A 24,854-nucleotide genomic window follows, 5' to 3' on the forward strand; every position below is an offset into this window, starting at 1 on the left:
ATTAAAAAAAAAAAAAAGAAGCAACTTACAAAAACACTAAAACTCCCTCAGCTTATAAAATACAACTGGCTAAAATCACTTGGGACCAATATGGCCAACTGGAGTCTGCACAAAATAAGGATGCTGACATTATGGCTGGAATTTCCACTGCATGTTTCACGGTAACGCCTCCTGAATTTACACGTATCATCCATGAGGTAGCATGAACAGTAAGTACACATGCCCAAGGACTTTGACTTTCCAGACTTTTCCTTTCCTTCTACTAATCAACTACTAGTTCCAGAATCCACCCTCTAAACCTTTTCTAATAAAGTTAATGACTTAAAATCAGCACAAGGTGACAGATTTGAACTGGACTTCTGCCTCTTTGTAGGTCAACTTAGAATACAAAGCTTTTCTTTCCTCAAAAGCTTGGTATTAGAGTATTGGCTTCTCGTGTGTTGGGCAGCGATCCCCTTTTACACAGTAAGAATACTGACTGCCCATGTTGCTGGGTGGAGCTCTCTGAACTTCTACTGGGACAGGGTGCTGCCTGATTCATGAATTCTTATTCATGCATATAAACTCTGCTTATTTTAATTTCTTTAAAGTTTTTCTTTTAACACTCCTATTGTTTGGAATAAAACTCCATTTTCTTTCCATAGTATTTCTCTCCACAGGAAATTAAAGTCTACACTTTTCCAACAGATAATAGTAGAAGTCTACTTTGGTGGGCAAGTGATTAAAAAAAATCCATCTTAAATTAACAGGTAGTTTGAGTGACACGTGGTCAAAACCTGAGTTGAAGGCTTTCCAAACGATAAAAATACTCCACATAGGGCATAGAACATCTACAAGATTCATAGAGCTCAAGGAAATGTAATTTAAAACAATCTTGCTAGCTATAGAGCTTAAAGGAGCTTGAAGGAAGGCAGAATATGAAGAAAGAGAGATGTATGGAAGGAGAAGTAAGGGAAGGTTGAACAAAATGGGCTGGAGAAATAGTTGTGAAGGAGTCAACTGAAACAGCCAGAGTACACAAGGAGAAAATAAAATATGAAGGGTTAGGCAGAATCACATATTGCAAATGCAGGACAGAAAAGTGAAAGAGCAAGTCATTAAGAGAAAAGGAGGAAGGAAACAAAATAACTAAAGTAAAATAAGTAAAATATACCAAGAGATATAAATGATCACTTAAAAAATGATCTGGCATTTATTCATGTTTTGCCATAGTAGTTATCTGCCAAAGCTGAAATTATAGTATTCCTCTGTGATTTGTTTTGATAGATTCAGCCAGGTGCATTATCTGTAGGCATTCTCATCCAGGAGAAAAATTAGCCAATCATGGATCTGGATGTAAATTTAAGGGACAAGAATAAGTAAAAGCTCTCCAAATGATATTTACGCAGTGGTCCAATCAAAATTGCATAAATTACTGAGTTCGACTGCCAGGAAAAGGGGTTAAATTTAATACAGCTAGACAGCTGAGCAGCTGCTTTCAGGATTTAAATAAAAACAAGCTGAAACTCCTGCTGTCAGACCAGTGATATATGACTTGTAATGGGATGTTTCCAACCTTTACTTCCATATGGCTGCCTACACTTTAGGTAATGCTCCCTGCCTCCAGTTCAACCAACTTTTCAGAAAACATCTGGGTCCCATTCCTGCTCCATTAGCTACAATGTTGCCTCCGACAAACACAAATGATTCATTGGACAACAACTCTTCACTTTGGGATCAAATTAGGGAATTTCATTGATAATTTTATCATGTCTATAACCAGAGGGAGTATATACGAACATGGCACATGTTCAATTTATGAAATTTCTTCACACAGTGTTCATACTACTAGGGATAATATATTTAAGATGAAAGGTGGATTCTAAGGGTTCGAATACAAAAATAAGATAAAATAAAATAAAATAAATAAAAGCTATCCTCACAAGGTGGGGTTTTTGTCTCGCTACTTTCTTACTACTTCAACTAGAAACTTCTCCCCATCTACACATCCCCTCATCCTTCCAAAAAAAAAAAAGAAAGAAGAAATAAAAAATGCCAAATAACCCTTTGAAAAGTGAGTTCAGTACAGGGGAAAAACGTGAGAACTTTTTGCCAACTTCACAAAACTTTCACCCATTTCAAGTTCAAATTAAAAATGGATTCCTTTATAAGAATTATGGGAAAATGCGAAGTATACACATATATATAACTAATTATTTATATATATATTATATTATATATAAATTATATATTATAATATATATAAATAATTAGTTATATATATAATTATTAGATCAAAGTATTTGTGTGCTCTGCAAATCAAACCAAGTGGGAGGCTCACATCTCCTAATAAGATATTTGATACTGTAGAATTCAAAATGTACTAGATGTTATTCTGTAAAAGGAATTAGAAACATTATCTAATACTTTGTGATTGTGCCTCCGATTGTCATCTTGTAACTCCCAACAATACTTAATACAAGCCATATTTCTCATTTTAATTCATTGAAACAAAATTAAAATTATAATTTATACAATTTACATTAATTTCTTATTTTAAAACAATAAATGTCTACACATAGGCACATACAAAATTTCAAGCCAAATTTTCTTAAATTATTGCTTTCCCCATTAAAGGACTTACAACAAAGGAAAAGAAAAGAGGAGGAGGAAAATAAGAAGAAACAGTAATACCAGCAGCAGCATATTGGTGGCTGGATACAGAAGTTTTGAAAATTTTGTGACAGAAATGGAGGAAACCAGACAAAAGCCCTTTTTCTTAGCAAGAGTATAAAAGTGCTTACATTTTTTCCCCTTACAGTTACAAGTTTATTGGTTGTCTGCAAAATTTAAGGTAAAAAAAAAATTACCCATAAATACAATCGAGGAGTTCATCTCCTGGGAAAATCCTACTTGAATCTAGGCAATTACAAAGGCCTGACAGGTCCCACATGGGACCTATGTCAGGGACCTGTCCTATGGCAAGTCCTACAGGGGAAGCTCCCCTCCTCACACCAGACTTGGTGCACAGAGAGTGTATCACAGATTCTGAAGATATTTTCAGTAAAAGACTCAGGCCCTCTGTTGGGTCATGCTCTTTGACATATTTACATTTCTAGTACAGGCAATTTCATTCCTAGGTCTCTTTATCTGAGGCCTTGTGCAGAAGTCTTTTTCAGGTGGCTCTGCAGAAACCTCCTTATAAGGGAAAGAGAGAGAAATCTCAAAGACACTTTTCCCCACTCTGACTCGGTCCACAGTACTTCTCACTCCTCGCTCTTCCCCTTTGCTCTCTCCCCACCGCAGAATCCATGAAACTCCTAGAGCCTTTTGTTTGGGACTCCCTCAATATTGAGAAGACTGCAGTACCTCTGCTCATCCCATTGGCCCTCAAACTGTGTGTCCTTCCATGGGGGAAATGGAACGAGGGAAGTCATCACTTTCTCTGGTGTTAAACTCTTGCTTATTCCACTGCACCATTAATGCTTAACTCTTTCATTTTTGGCTTGTTGCTTTAATCAGCTATTTTAATTCAGGGTGGCTCAGTTCTCTTTCTCAGCTTATTGAGTCCTAGATCATGATAGTGAACCAAGTTCAAGTTCATTTTCAATTTAGAGCTTCATCAGAAGAGTTTTCTGGAGTGTAACAAAATATAGACTGCCACCACTCCCCTGCTTAATTTCTCCGTAATTCCTAAATATATCAGTGTGATGGTTCTAGTAGGGCAAATGGAAGTTGCAGTAGGACAGGGATGTGGTCCTATTTCATTGGGAAGCTTGCTCCACTTCCAATGTCTTTTTGTCCTTTTTGTTTGACAATCAAAACTTATGAATACGATAGTTTGATGGACTCTGCTTCTATACTTATCTCTCACTTCCCCAGCAGTGAGTCAATGTATTCTTCCATGGGCCCCAACATTCTCTCCCTATCTCAAAGCATAGATCAAATTGGCATCCCTCATATCATGAGCTTTCTTTGAAATTCCCTTTTGTATTTAACACAATGCAAATTTTGCGTTATATTTTATAATGTCAGTTTAAAATCAAATAATGTGTTACACATCACACCATTTGAGAAAGCATGTGACAGTGTTTATTCAATAGCTTTGCATAATGAATGATCATAATCAATTGATATGAATGTTCCATTTTGCAAAGCAAATTCTAGTGGAGCTAGTCAGACCTGGGTTAAGATTATAGATCTTCTAGGCATTACTAAATTATTTGTAAGGATAATGTTACTTGTCTTGCAGCGTTCTGTGAGGGTAAAATGATATAATGTGATTTTCAACACCTATTTCTTCCCTTTCTTTTGCACCTGTTTTCATATGTGGCTGGTACAAAGCTGTGCAGCTTTGTGGCTCAGGTATAACAGGAGTGGTCAAAGTAACACAAATCTGACAATAAAAAATAATAAAGTAGTTACTTATATATTTATCACAGATTGTTAGAAAAATGCCAAAGGTGGGTTATGCACAGAAAACAAAATGCTCTTAAAATGCTCTTTAAAATTGCTAATTTTCCATATTTCTCCCCAAAGTCATATTTGTCATATAATTGTATCTGTTTTCAATCTCTCTCACAAAATCATAAGCGATTTTTTATTTCTCATCCTCCCACCTGCTGAAGATTTTCTTCTCGTTTCCTCAACTATTAAAGAGATCTTTTCAATGCAAGAAATCTTCCCTTGCCTACGCTCTACATTATCCATTTGCTCACTCTGTACAACAGTATCCCAAGACTCTGGCTAGAAATTTCAATCTCCTTCTTACAAGACATGGGAAGTGGAGGTGCCACAAGTATCCACAATATTTTAGGAAACAGGGCTTGTGAAGCTAAGTGACTTGCACAAGGTCATAGCTTTCAGAAGTAAAAGATAGCTTTTCCCTTTTCCCCCTTCTTCCTTCTCTCCTTCTCCCCACTGTTCTTGTGCCAACGTTCTTTCTTAGTAAACCAAACTGCCTTAATCTTATATCAATATATCAGAATACATGCGGCATAAAAATGTGAGCCTTGCACCACTGCTAATTTGATGGACAAGAGGATTGGAGAAGAGCTGGTAGTGATCAGTTAATGAATGTCAAAGTACATTATGAAGAAAAGAGTTCTGCCTTTATAAATTGGAATGTCTATGCTAAAATTTAAAGAATGTGTGCTACACAGCCATGAATAAAACATCTGCCAATGAGTAGAATACGAATCAAAGGAAGTTTTACCCAACAAAATTGCCTCAATTACAATTCAACACTTCAGTACTCTATAAAAATACAGCAATTACACCAATATTTAACTTTAAACATGGAAACCACACACACACGCACACACACACACACACACACACACAAAAACTAAAGAAAAAACTCCATCTGGTTTAAGCTATCACAAAAGTAGATAGTCCTAGCAACAGCAAGTAGGAGGAAAGGAATTTAGGGTAAAAGAGGGAGAAAAAGAATGAAGAAGTTCTAAGAGAAAACTGAACAAAGCATTTTAAAGAGTAAACAGAGGCTATAAAATATAAAATGATTGCATAGATGGAATTTTATGCCATGCATCCCATTATAAAATCATACTATTATTCTAAGAAATAGCCATGTAGGTTTGATTCATATTAACTGTCCGCAAAAAAAGGCAAGAATTCTAAGAGATAAATTGGAGACACCAGGGAAGGAGAAAGGGAATTAGTAGCCTTAAAAATCTATAAATTTCCACATGAGGACATTACTTTTTTAATTTGGACTACTGTTAAGAAGATTTATGAAAAGCATGTTAAAATCTGTAAGGTATCGTGAATCCATCTAAATTACCAGCCACAGGTTGATAGTGTAAACACTTGGCTGGATTGGGTATTAGGAACCACACTCACTTCCTGGAGTCACAGGAAGTGATTCCTTGAACATATGTGTATCATCCAAGATCCAGGCAGAAAAACACAGCCCTCTCCAGGGAGACTGAGGGAGGGATTCGAATACGGAGAAGCAGTTACAAAAATGATGTCAGAGAGTAGAGGGTACCAGGGAATGGGGAGAGGTGGACTAGGGAGCTATTGCTTAATGGTTACAGAGAGTTGTTTTTTTTTTTCCCCCCTTTGGATGATGGAAAAGTTTCGGAAATAGTGGTGATGATTACACAGCATTGTCCATGTACTTAAGCATGAAAAAGTCAGGAAACGGATTTAGGAGCAAAGCGATTAAAGCCCACATAACACACATTGCTGCAGTATGTAGTTGGGCACATCACAAATGATTCTGGTGAAACGTAAGAATTTAAGATACTATAGAACATATTAGGCCAGGTGCAGTGGCTCACACCTGTAATCCCAGCATTTTGGGAGGCTGAGGCGCGTGGATCACGAGGTCAGTTCGAGACCAGCCTGACCAACGTGGTGAAACCCTGTCTCTACTAAAAATACAAAAATTAGCTGGGCGTGGTGGTGCGCCCCTGTAATCCCAGCTACTTGGGAGGCTGAGGCAGGAGAATCACTTGAACCTCGGAGGTGGAGGTTGCAGTGAGCCGAGATGGCGCCACACTGCACTCCAGCCTGTGAGACAGAGCAAGACTTCGTCTCAACACAAACAAACAATAACAAAAAATATTAGAGAAGAACAGGTCGAAATAAATCTTCACCTGAAACTTCACTACTGACTACAACTTCCGAAAATGAGATTAAATATAGTCCTTCCATCCACTTGCTTTCTGACCACAAGTAAATTTATGTTTGTCAGATAAATAATAACTTGAATCTTCCAAATTGAGGTTCATGATTACCTTTCTCAAAGGGGACTTAGCTATTTCCTTGCCATTCCTAAGACCCTTATTCTGTGTAAATGTCTATCTCTCCCAAGGTTAGTGTCACATTTTTCTCTATATCTTCCTCACTTTCCCCCACACAGCAAAAGTCCAAAAATATCTTGACTCCTTTATCTGCTGATGGCTTAGTTCACTTGGATACCGGTCTTGCCTACATGCAAACTAGTTTCAAGATACGCTAAGAGAACAAGTTTACAAAACAACTCTTAATGACACACCCACGTTTAAAACCCAATCTCTTTTTGGTTTTGTTTTGTTTTTGTGTTTTTCTTATAGCATAAAATCTTAAAGTTGTTGATCTATAGCTGGGGTCAGCAACATTTTTCTGAAAAGGAACAGCTAGTAAATATTTCAGGCTTAGCAGGCCATATGGTCTTGGTCACAACTACTCAACTATGCCATGATAGTGCAAAAGTAACCATAGACAGTCTGTAAACAAAGAGGAGTTGCTATGTTTCAATAAAATTTTATGATCACTGAAATTTGAATTTTACATCATTTCATATGTCACTGAATATTATTCTTCTTTTGACTTTTATTCTACAATTTTAACATGTAAAAAGTGTTCTTGGCTTGTGTGCAGTACAAAAACAAAAGACATGCTACAGACCCTTGATTTACAACATAAATTTATAAAGATCTGGTCTCTCCCTACTTTTTCCGTTTTAGCTTTTCCTAATCTTCTCCTACCCTATGGTTTTGCTATGCTAAGATACTTGCAGTTCTCTGAGCATATCATACCATTTGCTGAAAACTTCATCTGCCTTGAATGACTCCCTCTTCTTTCTATAGATTCTGCAAATCTATAGAAAAAGAGATCCTCCTCTGCTCAAAAAGATCCTCCTCTGAGACTCTCCCCCGGGTCCTTTGAGTTGTGTTTTATCCAACATTTCTTTTATAATCTCTCTTAATCTATAATATATATATATCTAAACATGACTCTCACTGTATTGAAATTATGTACACACACTGTCTTCCCCATTGGCGCTTTCCTTAATGAAGACAAAGACCTTGTTTGTGTTTTTGTCCCTAGAATTTTGCAAAATTTTGAGAGAATGGCGAATGTGTAGTAAGTGTCCACTGAATGACTAGAGTGTTAATTACTTAAAATGGAATTCAACTATTTGCTTTATCAAGTAAGGTTGAAATTTAAGGTTTCTTCATTTATCCACTAGTGAGTAAGTTTGATTCAGAGTATTATAATTAAAAATTCTCTTCAAATTGGATGCTGTTCATAGACGACTAACACAAAGACGGAAAGTACTGGTTCTTGTTTGTATAGTTATGATCAGAAATAGGCCGTTCTGATTCATTTTGTATTTTAGAGACTAAATTAACTACTGTTTCAGAAAATAGATCCTAAAGAAAGAAAATAGAGATAGGGATTGTTATAGCCACTAATAGCTGTAGACCTTTGGGGGCATGCAGTCGAAATGCCCAGAAACCACACTGGTGACTTTTTCTCAATTTAACTCTCTTTGGATAGAAGAAGGAAGCAATTCACTTTGGAAAGTAATTCAAAACATTACTTTTATGGAACAAATGTAAGCAAGCTAATGTTGTGATTCAGACTGCAAAATTTGCATCATTTTCTTTTTAAGAATAAATCAGGAAATTCTACAGAAATTCCCCACCAAGCGTGGCTTATTCTTCTCTGCCCTTTGGTTTACTTTACAGACAGATTCTTAAAAACATTATTATTAGTGGATGGGACCTCAAGAGCAAGTTTAAAATACACTTCAAATGCTATAAAGAAATATTAAATAAAGGAAAATGATATACTGTTCTCTATTTCCTGAGCAAGAGGGGAAAGCACAAGGAATTCAGGTTACACACTGGAAAATATTGTTCATGTATAAAGATTTAAAGACATTGCAATGATTCTGTAACTGAAGGCAATAATTCTTAAGGAAAAGGTAAATTTCTATCAGTTTGGGGTGGTTGAATAATACTCTGTCTAGAAATAATTAACAAGATTTTATATAGTAAGATACCATTTTATAGATCTTGTAAAAACTACATTTACATTAAACTACATAAAAACTACATTATAATTTATAAGCATGACTCCTTTTTTAATGAATTTGAAGGAGGACATATAATGATTATGTGTTTATTAACAAATATGTCAGTAACAAAAGGGAAGTAGTTTTGCTAGGTAAGTGTGGCAAAGGAAGATAAAGAACTCTGTCTTGAATTATCTACATCAGATGTTAGATGTGACAATGCTGTTTCAAGATCCCTGCTTCGACATGGACATAAGAAATATACAGAGACAATAATCAGTTATAAGGCTGAAATGTGTAAATTAATAGCTTAAACAGGCCAGTCATCGATGATATTATTGAAAGATCTGATCAACTGAAAGATGAGTAAGATATATGTTGAGGATATATGATTTAAAGATGCAGATTAGGGTGACTTCTCATTGCTATCTACTGGAAGTTGCCTAATTTAAAACAAACAAACAAACCACAAGAACAAAAAAAAATGGAGTCTAGTTACTAGTTAGTGATTAAAAAGCTCACCTGATACTATGATTATATGACAACCAAACTGAAGGGCATGACAAGCACACCTCTGACCTAAAACCTGATCAACTAAGAAACGGCCATCTAAGAAACTGGTAAATAAAAGTGTTGGTAAAACAAAAGAAATTGGTAAAAAAAATAAAAATAAAAAATAGTACTCAAACAAACATAAAAAATGTAAAAAGTGATGAAACCTTTATTATTGAGGCAAAGAAAGATCCTTTGAATACCTTTTTAAAGTAAGCATTGTGAAATCAGTCTCAAATGTGCTTTGTAACTCTTGGAACTTCCCTAAAGATTATTTTGCTGTGCAGCTCCGTATGTGCATATATTCACACCAGACAGTAGACAGAGAACAAGAGGAAGCAGATTCCAGAAGCAGCAGCTGAGATCCAGTAAGTGTGCGTGGAGAAATTGTGTTTACCATGTTATATGTTCTTTCTTCTTTGGAGGGTCAGGCTTGTGTCAGTGTTTTCAGAAACATTTTCACTAGAACAGATGAAAGTAGCACAAAGGAAGGTAAGAAGCTCATGCAGGCTTTCTTTTCTTTATATTTCCTGTGTTTGTCATTTATGGAATAAGAAAGGTCTAGTGACCCTTTAAGATTTTGCCCACAGTTCTGTTACAATGTCTACAGAATATACTTCGGTTAGACCTAGAGAGTGTTTTTTTTTTCTTGGCCAATAGAATAATTTACATGTGGAATCTCACCACATGAAACTACAGAATTTAAAGTCTGTTTCAGAAGGTAGAATATGAGAGAGCAGGGAAACTAAAAGATATCCTTCTATAATAAATCAAGATAAAAGTTAGAATGAACATTTCCCTTGTGGGTTTAAAATACCTATAATTGCCCTTTAAATGATAGCAATACACACACACAAATACACAAATACTGACCAACACAGTCTTAACGTTCACCTCAGCTTGACCAAAGTGTAGACAGGCTTTCTTCTTGACTGTAGGCTTCAACCTCCCTCCTAACCTTTCTCTTCTTATGTTAGAAAACAGAATTGTAAATTATTTCTCTGCCCCTTTGAATATAAACCTTCTTTCAACTTCTTGACAATTTTACAACTCCATATAGTCTTTCTCAGAGATCCGTACCTCAGGAAAGACAGGGCTCTTATTTATCCCAGTTTCTGTGGGAAGGTAGAAGCCTAACTTTGATTAGTCCCACATCAGCAAACATAGATGGCCTAATCACATTGACCAGCCTCTCCCTTAATGACCTACAGTGCATTTCTATTAATTTTCCCCAGCATTTAAACCCACTTGCTTTTTGTTCCATTGGAGCTGAGGTCAATTTCTCTCTTTTTTTCAGTAGTATTGACCCTTATATCAATAGTTTGAATAACTTTTTCATAGGCATTTAAAACAAGTGTCTGTGGCAATTTTTCTTTTTCAATACACACACGTGTGTGTATTTTTAAAGAAAATAATATTTCCAATTATTTATATTAGGAATTTCTTAAGGCATACAAAAATACAGTTAAACAGAAGGAATAAGTTATAGTATTCAAAAGTTCCAGGTGAAAATTATAGTTAACAATAATTTATTGAATATTTTGAAATAGCTAGAAGAAAAAATTGTGTTTAATATTCCCAACACGAAGAAAATAAATATTTGAGTTGATAGATATCCCAAATATCCTGATTTGATCATTATACATTATACACAGGTATCAAAATATCACATGTGCTCCCAAAATATGTACAACTATAATATTAATATAGCAATTAAAATAATTTTAAAAATTTTAATTTTTCATTTTATTAATAATTTAAAGGCTATAGAAATAGGTTAAAACACAAAGGCAAAAAGGATTATATAAATTAAAATTATTATATGTGGAAAATGAAGGAAATTCTAAGGCCAATGTTCAGAGAAATGGAGAAAGTACAAATTGCACCAATTAAGGGAAAACTTCCAATTTTACATTCTATTACAATAAATAAAATGCATCCCTTTTATGCAATAAAATGTCATAGAAAGTCATAAGTATAGTCAGATTTGAAATATAAAAAATACATGTACTAGGAAAACATAACTTTTAATAATATGTACCCCCATTACTATACACCAGGCGCAGGCGCTATTTAAAGTTGTTTGCATATGTAAACTTTTTATTGCACATAATGACTTTTTGAAGTATTATCCGCCATTTTACAGATGAGGAAACAGAAGCACAGAAAGAATAAATAACCTTTCCAAGGTCATGAAGGTAGTACCTGGCAAACCTAAAACTTAAATTCAGGAAGTCTGGTTCTAGATCTGTGCCCTCAATGTTATTGAATGCCTGCTCTCCAAGCACCATCAACACAACTTGTTGATGAGAAAAGGCTGAGATTGTTGCTTACTGTTCAAAGGGAAAATATCACAATGAGAGGTTTTGCAGTAGTGACTTGGCTAGGATCAGGTAAACATCAAGATACAAACAGTATAGGATCCATAGGAACGTTTAGATAATGATATTTGATGCAAAGGATTTAAAACTTAGGGTACAAAGTGTCTGCTAATGAGTTCCATTGCAGATGGATTGATTGGGAAGTTCCTGTTATGAAATATTAAGCAAGTTGCTTGGGTTAGAGTCTCCAGGGATAGTAAAATCATGCTGAAGAAAACAATGGAATAATTAAGTCATGTTACCATATATAGCAATCTCTATGAAGGTTAGGTAATTCTGTCTTCAATGTCCAACAGTGTATATGGGTATGTGGTTCTCTACATTACTTAAAAGAACCCTATAGCAATTCGTGTTGTTATTTGAAAGCAGTGTGCCTGTATAATTTATCTTTCCAAGGTTGACATTTCAGTATGAGTTTAAAGCCCCATTTATGTTAGTAAGCCAATGAGGATAATTTGTAAATCAATCAGGGCGTTTTACAATTTCATTTGCTATCAATCAACTCTATGTAGGTGTTTCTTATTATGTACACTTATTAAGTACACTTACATATTAAAAATATGTAGGTGAACATATTTTGAACACACTTGAACTGAATAACACTGTTTAATGAGCCTCACCGGTTTTCAGCCTTAAATGCAGACCTTATGATTTTGTCTAGGACATGTAAGGACACGCTGTTTCCACATGTGTATTTCCTTATCCATGCATTTTGAAATTAGCATTTTCCCTTGCAAATACCTTGTTGCTTTATCTTTTGTCATTGTTTTAACTCATTATGAAACAACAACTTCTGCTGCAACTCATTACGAAACAGTAACTTCTGCTGCCAATAGAAACGTCAAAAAGAGAAACATGCTTTTTCCTAACAATCAAGCTACATCAAAGGGGTAATATAATGAAATAAACATCTATTTATTCAATACATGCTAACTACCTGGTGTGTTAGGTCTCTTCATATTAGGCTTGCCATATTTAAAAAATAAAAATACAGGACGACAAGTTAAGTTTGAATTGTAGATAAACCATAAATATATTTTTAGCATAAATATGTGTCATGCAATATTAGAACGTATACTAAAAAATTAATTGCTTGTTTGAAATTTAAATTTAATTGAGCTTTTGTGTTTTATGTGCTAATTCTTAGTGACCAGCCTTCATCTGACAAGAATTGAGAGAAGCTGAACCTACAGAGGACACATTTTTCTATCTCAGTCATTTTGTTCTAAAAATGTTCCTTCTATCATTTTCTTTCATACACGTAGGCTGCCAGTTTCACTTAGGTGCAGAGATAAAGACTGATCTTTAGTATCTTTTTATCCTTTACATGGACATAACTTAGTCTTTCTTAAGGTTAAAAAGCAAAATCAACCTGAGAATGTTATATAAAACAAATACTTATTTTGATAACTTTTACAATCACTCTCTCATATTCCACATTTCTAATAAATACAGATACTGCCTGTTTAAAATTATAATCTATAGGGCAATTTTCAGAGATCTAAGACATTTTTAAAGAAATGAATAAATACCAACAATTCCTGAACACATGCAATATGCTCAGATCCGTATTAGAAGCTTCAAGACATTGTTTTAGAATTTTATTATTTAATTCTTATAACATCTAGGTGATTTTTTTTTCCAATATGAGAAAGCTAGTTCAGTGGAGTTAATTCATTTCCTTAGGCTACAGGAATTGTAAATAGTGAAAGCAAAATTTGAACTAGGTCTTTCTCCATCTATTAAACACATTTTGTCCATTTTATCAGCTGGATCTAGATTCCAATGAGCTTTAACCACTATATTAAATACATGTTGCCAAAAGAAGAAATCATCAATATCAGGGAAAGTCAGTCAGTTCCTATCAGGAAAAGTGAATATCCCAGAGATAGAATGCGCTCACTCTGGTAGGTATCAAGCCAACATGGTAACATCTATCACTCAAGTAAAGACTAGGGAAGTGGCTCACGCCTGTAATCCCAGCACTTTGGGAGGCCGAGGCGGGCGGATCACGAGGTCAGGAGATCGAGACCATCCTGGCTAACACGGTGAAACCCCGTCTCTACTAAAAATACAAAAAATTAGCCGGGCGTGGTGGTGGGCGCCTGTAATCCCAGCTACTCGGGAGGCTGAGGCAGGAGAATGGCATGAACCCAAGAGGCGGAGCTTGCAGTGAGCCGGGATAGCGCCACTGCAGTCCAGCTTGGGCGAAAGAGTGAGACTCCGTCTCAAAAAAAAAAAAAAAAAAAAAAAAAAAAAGACTAGGGAAGACACAGAGTAGACAGTCCTTAGGAAATAATGATCACCATGGGAAAGCAAGGTTCCGTTCTTTTGACTTTGCTGTGTCCTTCCCTCCATCCTAGTAAAGGAAGACAACTGACATGATGAGTCAAAGATGAAGAGATTCACTGGACTCTCATAATTTTCTTTTATCTCTTGACTGTGAGTTTCCCCAAAACCACTGTGTAACAAAATACTAAAAATGTAATGGCTTAAAAAATTCCCATTTATTGTTACATAATTTTGTGAGTCAGAAGTCCAGGTAGACTTAGATGAGTTCCTGGCTTAAGGTCTCAAAGGTCAAAAGGTGTAGACCAGGCTGGGCTCTTATCTGTAGGCTCTGAGGAAGAATCAGCTTCTAAGCTCATTCAGTTTTTGGAAGAATTCAGTTCCTTGAGGTTACGACTGAGTTTCCTGTTGCTGGCTGTTAGCTTCTACAGGATGCCCACATTCCTTGTCACATATATTTCCTCCCTCAATCTTATAAGTATGCCACATGGAATACTTCTTAAGCTTGGAATCTCTGAGACATCCTCTTCTGTTACCAGACAGAGAAAACCCTGTGTTCTTCAAGAGTATAATTAAATTTTTCCCCAAAAATCCCTCTCTTTTGATTAATTTAAAATCAATTTATCAGTAGCCTTAGTTTCATCTTTGTCATACATAATCAGGGCATGATATATTATCATATTCACAAATCTAAGTTTAGGGCAGAAAATCATGAAGGACCATTTTAGGATTCTGCTTACTACACATGATCTCTTGAACTCAAGAAGAATTAGAAGAAATTTCAAGATCATCTAGTTAATGGATGGATCTTCCAGATAGTGAGAACTAAATTTAAGTCCTAATTCCATCCATAGACAAGTACTTCACATCACAAGGTTGTAGGGTAAAATTGGGCTTATTTTTTAACCACAGTGTTTGGAGTAAAATTATCATTGGTAAATGGTAATGTCAATAGTCTTAAAACTAAATGCTGGAGGAAGAATACAAAAGATTGGTGAGGCTAAGCTGCTAACTGGTGGGTGTAAAGATCCAGTATCTAACCTGGGCATATTGGTCCCAGAAACCAAGACTGTTAAACTGATCAACAAATAACTAAGTTAGAAACTACATCAGATAAAAGAGTTAAGCATTTCTAGGAGTAATCAATAAAACTGAGATAGAAATAGAGAAGGACCTAAATATTTACATGATTACCACTTTCCCCACTGCTGAGTAAAAAACTTCAGGGGAAAACACATGATAATCTTAATATACAAAATATAAAATAAATATGTGAAACAATGTCACCTGATAATTATACTAGTTATTTTAAAACAATAAAATGATTTAATCTATTGAAATATAGAAATAAGATAAATGACATTAAGTGTATATAATGATGAATGCTACTACAATATTTTAGGAAGTTCATTAATCTAAGATGTGGGACAGATTTTAAGTCAAAAAATAAGCATTATTGGTAAGAACTGGGGCAAGATGTCAGTGGGGGGAGGTGAAAGGAATTTAATGTATCACTTTAAATGGCTATTCTATTATTTTGTGTTAATAATTGTATATGTGTTAAAATACAAGAATTTAGATACTGAAAATATCTTTAATATTAATATATAAGACTTATTAATATACATAGGTCAGTTCTCAAGGGATTGCTTTTATAATCCTACTCACTAAATCCAAATCATCAGGAAAATGAACATCTTCAAATTAAATCCAAGTTCTTTATAGAGCTGGGTGGTAAATATTTATCAATGTTTCTTTGTTCTTCTAAGCAGCTACAGCATTATTCTCTAGACTATTCTGTATCTGTAGACCCAAAAGAGCATCCGGTTAAAATTCATAGACCCTGGTTACTTAGAAACCTTATGAGCTAGATGTTTTTTTTTTACAAGTTAGAGCAAAAAGTTAAATCAATCCAGATCCATCTATTTTATTCTCTGTTTGGGAATTGGAAGAATCTCTGTTTTTCTAGTGTTGGCGTATGACGGATAGCTATGGATAATGTAAACGTCACTTGACACTAAGCTGAGATGAGTTTGCATGATCGTGGCTGGAGAGTTTCAAAGACAGAAGTTACACAGTGATCAAAACACATACCAATTAAGATTTAAATTGGATTTTAAATATTTTAAGTAGTAATATAAAAACCATTGAGTTGTTTAGTCAAATAAGGAGATTTTAGCAGTCATCAAACCCCAGAAATATACCAATTCCAAAAATGCACAATCTGTGTATTTTTTCAAAGCACGAAAAATTTCAGGGCTATAATAAACAAAAATGCCCACAATTACCTCTAAGCCACTTGTCCGGTTTTGTCTGCCACTACTCTCTCCATTTATACTCTAGGCAACTACTTGATACTTTCTAATCATTTTCTAAACTTCCACTTTCCTGCTTATGAGATGTTGATTGTTTTAATATGGAATGATCTTCCCCTGTATTTCCATACTTTAGGTCATAAATCAAACAACCTGTCATCCTTGAAACATCCCTCCACTCTGCTGAGCTAGAAGTAATTTTGCTCTTTTGTCCTTTCCTAAAAGCATTTTGTTCAGATCTCCTAGCAAACCCTGTCTGAGAGACAAAATGGTGTACATATGTTATTGTGAGAGTTAAGAAAGAAGGGAAAATAAAAATGCATATATATAATTTAAATTTGTACAATAAATAGAAGGATACAAAGCATAAAATGTGAGAGAAAATAAACATTCTCAATGTGTCTACCTTTGTCCACTTGATTTTTAGAACCAGGTGATGATCTGCTCAAAATATATTTGAATATATAAAAGACTACCTTGATTCATTGTTGATTGTTTATGAACATTCTCTCCCTTTTTTTGTAAAGTTCCTCTAAAAAAGAGGCTATAGACTGTATATCTTTTTTATCTCACGTCTGACTTTGTATAGTTTATGCATTAAAAGCACTGCAAAACACCATTACCCGACTCCTAATCCCTCCCATTAGGGTATATTCTAGAACAAAAGCTAATAAATGTCAATGCAAAGAACGCAAATCTTTATATTCTATAGAAATAATGGTGTACTATAAACAGATTGATGATGAGACCAGTACTTCTTTTCTGACTTAATCAAAGACAATAAAGTATTTGCTCATTCTTTTTTTTGTTTGTTTGTTTGTTTTGTTTTTTTGGAGACAGAGTCGTCTCGCACTGTCGCCCAGGCTGGAGTGCAGTGGCGCGATCTCGGCTCACTGCAAGCTCCACCTCCCGGGTTCATGCCTTTCTCCTGCCTCAGCCTCCCGAGTGGCTGGGACTACAGGTGCCCGCCACCATGCGTGGCTAATTTTTTTGTATTTTTAGTAGAGACAGCGTTTCACCATGTTACTCAGGATGGTCTCGATCTCCTGACTTTGTGATCTGCCTGCCTTGGTCTCCCAAAGTGTTGGGATTACAGGCGTAAGCCACCACGCCCGGCCAGTATTTACTCATTCTTAAAGAGATAAATGTGTAACTAATTGACTTAGTATCTTGGAAAAAATACATATCTCATTCTTAGACTACAAAAGAAAGCATCTTCAAGTCTAGGAAATTAAAACTAAAGGTTAGCCTGTGGACTATCAGGATAAGAATGTATTCCAGATCACCTTGAAGTTCCAGTACCCTAGTAGATTAGGGTATTGTACATTATATGGTACATTTCATTACAAATTTAATGTTTCCTTTTTCTTTGACTACAATGAAAGATGTCCTCTGCACCAACTAATCTCCTACTCTACCAGATTCCCAATGTCGTCATCACTACCTATCCCTTTTCTTGTTGTTGTTTTCCCTGAGGTCTGGGAATAATATACCTCTCTTTCCCCTTTGACCAGGGGAAATGCTAAGGATAGTCTAAATTAGAGCCTAAGCTAGTCTAATTGGCTGAGAGGGAGTTTGAGATTTGCAGACTTCTAAATTAGTCCTAGATTCCTAATTAGCTCAACAGGGAACAAAATTGCATTCAGCCTTCCTTCCTTTTTCTGATCCTCCCTCAACTTGGCAAGGCAATCTGCAACCCAAGAGGTTCAGTAAAAATAAATCACTATCATAGAGGTATTGTGCACCATAAATATTCCAAGACTACCATCAGAAACCTGCAAATTGGGAGTTTCATATACATGTTCTGAGTGCCTAAAGTTATGAACAATTTTCGCTACTAAAAAGGAGAAAATGCTACAATGATTACTCATGATAATTTAACCACTTTTATTTTTAGTTAAAAATATTATTTAATTCCTAAGTACAAGTCTAATTTGCCAATCCAGAAATAGCACAAATGCTTGGATTTTCCTCCTTAGGATTAGTACAGAAACCAAAGATTAAAGGAATAATGGAGGAAAAGAAGGGAATCCCCCAAAGCATTAAATAATAGGTCTGCATATTATAGGTCATCATCCCCAGGCAATCAGACACTACATAAATGTTTCCATTGTTCCTTTCCTTTATTGCACATACAATGAAACTGTCCAGTACGATTAAGAGATGTCTTACCATGGAAAATAAAAGCATTTTCCTTGAATACATCACTGAAGGCTTAAAAAAAAGCTGATTAAATGGCTCCTCTGTTTCATCACAAACTCTCTTTTACTAAAGATAAAGAAATCATGTAATAATTCAAACTACATTTTTAGGGATTAAGTTTTATGCCAAAGTGATTACACATTCCAGCGTTAGCTCTCTAAGGATGCTGATTTTACATAATAGCTTCAAGTGGTTAAAATAAATAAGCGTTTTTTCCAAACTGAATAGGCTGTATTTGGTACTCAAAAGACATTTGTTTAACTAATGAATACATTTGTTCCTGTGAACTGCTGTTATTAAAACAGTCTCCAAAAGATGTTTTATATATTGACATTTTGGAGAAACAACTACTGATAAAATCCTGTTTTTTATATTCTCTGATAAGGTAGATTTTTTAAAAAATTGCCATTGGAGTTCATAGACAATGACTTGAAGTTTATTCACATTCCACAAATGATGTTGCATTCTTCAACAGAAAACAGAAGCTATCAAATAGAGCTTTCTCAAATTCTTGTAGCCCCAAATATACATCCCCATACTTCATATTTTTACTGTTTTATCTCTACTTTCCATGGTAACGGGGTCTTCAGTTGATGATTCCTCTCCTGTACTGAAGACCCAATATCATATTCCTTCATAATATACATGGATGCATGTCAAATGCCTTCTTTCTTTCTTGAACCTAGCACTTCTCACTTTCTACCTTTAAACAGGCCTAAGATTCTCTCAACCTCCCCTTTCATCCTGCTTCTAGCTAGCATTCCTCTTCTCCTCTTGAAAGCCAAGCTTCTAAAAAGCATATTCTATAGTTAAATTCTCCTATTTTCTGGCTTCCCATTGAACCTCAGGGCACACTAGAAATCTATTTTCCATCATTCCTTCCCGCTCAGCCCCCAAGTAGCTGGGATTACAGGCATGCACCACCATGCCTGGCTAATTTGTGTACTTTCTGTAGAGACATGGTTTCAACCTATTGTCCAGGCTGGTCTCAAACTCCTGGGCTCAGGCAATTCATCCACTTAGCTTCCTAAAGTAATGGGATTATATGCATGAGCCACTGTGCCCAGCCTGAAAAAAATTTATTTATTAGAACATTCATCTCACAGCACTGGTTATCCTAAAAAAAAAACTGAGAAACAAATTAAATGTCCAACAGTAGAGAAAGATGTTTATCAATACTAATAAATGCTAAACAGCTATTTAAAAAAATGCAAATAATTATATGTATTTATATTTACAATACATTTTCATGTTGAAAGTGGATAATATTTTTCTTTAAAATTTATTAAAATTTCAAATGCTGAAAAGATAAAATATGATAAAACAAGGATAGTCTCCAAGTTATAGTTACATTTTGTTAATATATGACTTGGAGATTTCACACACACACACACACACACACACACACACACACACACACACACAGAGAGAGAGAGAGAGAGAGGGAGAGAGAGGGAGAGAGAGACAGTATATCCTTTTACACATATGAATAGCCACTGCTCCATTAGCATTCACCACCAAAGCCATTTTCTGACAATCCTCAAACATACACAGACACATTCACAGTGAAACAGTTCCATTTCAATTGCAATATGCTGTTTACAAAAATAACAAAAAAGAAAAGGAGCATATTCTGAAAACTAATAACAAAATATTTTCCCAACATGACTAAATTATATCACTTTATTATATACTTTAAATACTACCAGTGAAAGATTTAATTATTCATTTTTTCATTGAATAAAAAATTTCCATATACACCAAACCATACTAGACAATGGAAATAAGTCAATTCAAAATTGAGTTTGTGGTAGAGGCAGAGATCCAAATGACAACTCAAAAGGCTCTCTGATAGAAGAGTGCATAAAGTACACAGAGGATGAATGCCTATATTAGTCAGAGAATGTATTGAGGGAAGAGGAAGATCAAACAAAGCCTCTTAGAGAAACTGAAGTAAGTGAAGTCTTAAAAAGAAGAGAGGAATTAGTCAAGCAAGCAGAATAACAGAATGCTTCGAACAGAAGAAACTATAAGCATGAATGTAGCTGATGTAAGATGTAGACAAGAAAATCATTAGCTGTTGTGGTGTAAGACGAGTTTAAACATGTCATAAAGAAGTGTCACAAAATCTGTGATCCAGCACCATATATATATATATATATATATATATATATATATATATATATATATCTTCATCTTCAATTCTAGTCTAAAAATAATTATTTTCTTTCTTTCTGAGCATTAAATTAATGAAATTCCTCTTGCCATTAATATATAGCATACAAGAGGATCATATAGAACATGCTGGAAACAGAGACTGATCACAGAGAGCCCATGGAGAGGTGGAAAGCTATAACAAATAAGTATTTTAGAATAGGTTATCTAGACCAGAGATGGCAAGGACTTTCAAATTAATTGCCAATTTCTATTCATTGGGAATATCTGAGTAAAGAAAAATTCCCATTCCCATCTAGACCATTCCTAAGGGCAAGTGGTGACTTATGAGTCTTTTGTTCCACCTTTCAAAAGAAATTTCTACCTGCTCCTCAACCAAGTTCAGTGGTAATGAGTGATGCCCACAATTAATGACACTTGCTATAAACACTGAACTTGAGAGTGGTGACACACAAGACACATATTGTCCCATGGCTATTTTTGGGCTAGAACATAGGCTGTATTTGGAAGAATGACAGGAAATGGTGCTGAATGGGCATGTAGATGCCATCATAAAGTTGTTCTGCTATTCTCAGAATTCTTGACTTGAGCCAAGTGCAGAGTCATTAAAGAGCTTAAAGTGAGGAGGCAATCTGATAATCCTTGTTTCTACAACGCCAATCACTGCAATGTAAGAAAACGTCCTATTTTACTCTCTGATTTCTTTGTAAGACTCTAAGTTCTTTCTTTGATAAAAAGGGAGGATACATAAATCGGTATGCTAAGTGGAAAACACAGTTTAACAAATGAGTATGGATAACCTTCCTTTCCAATATTTAAAGACACCAAAGAACCTACAATACTATGTAGGGTTGGCCAGGAAAATAGGATGAGCATTAGGTGCCATGGATACCAAGAAGGTAGAGTTGTTTTCATATTTTTTCAAGAAATAGTATTCATGTGTGTGAAATTTTTTGAAACAATCATGTTAAGAGCTGAATAATGGCTGCTGAATTTAACAATTGGAAGGTATATCTGACTTTAAGGATAGAATATTAGTGATGTATGGGTGGAATTCAAACTGCAGTGGGTTTAGGAGTGAAGAAGTAGCTGACAGAATATAGCCTGTTCTTGTGTGTAAGTGTGGAAAGAGGGAGAAGAGTAACTATGGAAACATAAAAAGTTGAGGATAAGATTATTAGAATAAAAATCTCCCAAAGATTAAAATACCTATAGATAGATGAAAAATATTTTGTTATTTAGAGTGTATGACACTTTAATTTGTCATTGTTTTCCTGCTATCCCATATCTCTTGTTTTGAGGAAATGATGATTTTAATCAGGGCAGAAGGATATTTAAAAAGGTAATTCTGAAGTATGACACCCTTTTCCATAAAAAGTCATTCTCACCTGAATGGAGTATGGAATAGACTTTATTAGAGCAAGTCTTGGGTTAATATGAAGGCTGTGGATAATCAGAAACAGAGTTACAAGGATGTGATGGGGGGGAAATAAAAGGGGTGGTGGGATTTGAAAGATGAGGTACATCTATTTCCCCAAATTTTCTAGATCCATAGTCATGTCTGGGAGATGGGTAGGAAACTATCTTCTCTCAAAATACTTTCCCCAGATGTGAAATTGGGAAAGAATTATGACTTAATATCATAGGTTCAATGGTTTCTAAAATTTAGCTTGAGAACTTTAGGTTTATACCATTTCTCTTAGGAAAAATGTCTAAAGAAAGGTTTTAAATCTTTACTTAGAAACTATTGTTTGATAAACAGTCTTTTCACAAGATTGCACCGGTCAGTATTTATTCCCAGCTAGTAGACAAGTGATTACATTCCACTTGTGAATTTATCCTTAATCTTTTAGTAAGTGTAGTTGAAGCCTTCAACAATTTAATATAATTGTGCTGTTATCACATTTTGTAAAATGATTAGCTAAAACCCAAATTTCATATTGTTGGCTGACCCAAGCTCCCCTAGTTGATCCCTATAAATGAAGTCTGTGAAATCCGCTGCAATTAATTTTTCTTAATGATAAAATTGGTTATCAAAAAAGTATTTATTTATATTCCCACTACTGTACAAAGAATCCTAATACACTCAAGACTAGACAATTAGTCTTCCTTGTTAAGAAAATCAGATTCATATACATGAAAAATTAAGGCACAACAGTAAAGTAGCAAAACGTGTGTAATTACTAAGATGAATAATCTGTTTATTTTGTACTAGGTAGAACCAGAGTCTGATAGCATTCAAGCATTATTCTCAATATCTGATGCTTTGATAATGTGTTACAGTAAGGAGAAGTCTCAGAAGGAATTGAGCCTAAATGGAAATTGAAGTACACACACACACACTAAACACACACACACACACACACACACACACTCTGGTTTATATCACTAAATTAATTTGCAGATATAAATATGAAACTGAAGAAATCTGGAGATGACCACTGGAAAATATTCAACCATGGCTCACGCCTGTAATCCCAGCACTTTGGGAAGCTGAGGCAGGTGGATCACCTGAGGTCAGGAGTTCCAGACCAGACTGGCCAACAGTAGAGGTGAAACCCCATCTCTACTAAAAATGCAAAAAATGAGACCGGCATGGTGGCAGGTGCCTGTAATCCCAGCTACTCGGGAGGCTGAGGCAGGAGAATCGCTTGAACCCGGGAGGCAGACGTTGCAGTGAGCCGAGATTGCACCACTGCACTCCAGCCTAGGCAATAAGAGCAAAACTCCATCTCAAAAAAAAAAATATATATATATACCTGAATGTGTTAGCAGGAAAAAAATTATTTCTGAACCAACAAAGTTTGCTTATACATATACAAAATACATATATATTTTTATACAGGCCTGTTTTGCTTAAATATATTAATATAATATTTGATAGCACAACTAGAATATTAAATACTTTAGCCCAGCTCAAAATGCTGCCTCTTTCTTTGGGACAGCCTTTCACTGGTCCCATTAGCTATACCTTTACTTCATGGCCCTGTTTCTTTGTCCATAGCTCACAAATTAAGGAGTATACACATGACCAATATGAGCCAATTAGATACCCTCCTAGAGATTTGGAATTTTGAACTTAAATCAGAGACTGAGGGGTCTATAACAATCAGGTACCAACCAGGAAAGTAAAAACTGTCCTGGGAAATTAAAACAAGATAACTTAATGCAGAACATTTGTTCCATCTGTGATGAAAGAGCTAAGAAGCCAAAGAGGGGAGAGTAAGTCAATGAAGAAAGGGAGCAACTACATTCCTAGACTTGAGAACAAAAGAGGGGGTGGTATTACCAGCACCACTGGAAACAAAACTGTCAGAAGTCTCTGTCCTTGTGAAGTTAATGTTCTAAGAAAGCAAGATAGATAACCATTATAAAGCCTATTAGTAGGGTGACTTTTTGGTCTCTACTAAGCATTTAGATTCAATGGACTGCCCAGTCTACGCAGAAGGATCTAGGACAGGAACCAGAGCTTACTAGAAGGCTAGTGTTAGACATTCCTCCCAGTTGAGTCCTTGCAGCAGCCATGTAGAAGATAACAGAAGTAGCAAAGTGAGGCACGGGGGGCAAGTGCAAGAACTAATGGACAACACAGCTTTGCCTTACAACTTCATGCCCCACAGGAATTAATGTTGCCTTTAATAATTCCATAGGCATAACTTTCAGTGTTCCTTGCAAGAGGCATGCTAGTTATAAGACTCCTGACATTCAGATAAGCCCAAAATATAATATGTTTACCAGGTTATCTGTAGTTCATTCATAGTTTGCTCCCATTCTGATGTAATTTACTAATCAAGGGTCATTATTAGCATAGGCGATTGTGCTTCATAACACAGTTGACACCATCTTTAGGTCTTTTCATGGAAACAGAGCCAGAAGTTTAACTGAAGATCTGATTCCCATGCAGTGAGGAAAGGGGGTTTGTTAACTCATTTACCTACAATAATCACAATAACAAACATAAATTATATAGTATGTAAGAAGTTGGTAAGTATTATGGAGAAAAGGAACTAGAGAAGGATCAGAAGGGTTAGTAGTGGTGGTGCTTACAATCTTAAACAGGGTGGTCAAGTGTGATGGGAAAATTCTAAGATCGGCTCCATGAGCCCTGCCTTCTAGTACTCATGCCCTGTGATATTCCTTCCCTTTGAG

At 35.3% G+C, this 24,854-nt stretch overlaps 1 protein-coding gene and 1 long non-coding RNA gene across 5 annotated transcripts in view; one reads left to right on the forward strand and one right to left on the reverse strand.

The window, feature by feature from the left end:
• Positions 1-24,854, reverse strand: part of AGMO (alkylglycerol monooxygenase) — a 444,793-nt gene that overhangs the window by 110,283 nt on the left and 309,656 nt on the right. The gene's annotated exons all lie outside the window — the stretch shown is intronic.
• LOC124901592 (uncharacterized) overlaps positions 9,651-24,854 on the forward strand; it is a 75,595-nt gene continuing 60,391 nt past the window's right edge. The window contains exon 1 of the long non-coding RNA XR_007060218.1: positions 9,651-9,711. This is a non-coding gene — a long non-coding RNA (uncharacterized LOC124901592). The remainder of the gene's footprint in view (positions 9,712-24,854) is intronic.

The sequence above is a fragment of the Homo sapiens genome, chromosome 7 (genome assembly GCF_000001405.40).
Source record: "Homo sapiens chromosome 7, GRCh38.p14 Primary Assembly".
Lineage (NCBI taxonomy): Eukaryota > Metazoa > Chordata > Mammalia > Primates > Hominidae > Homo > Homo sapiens.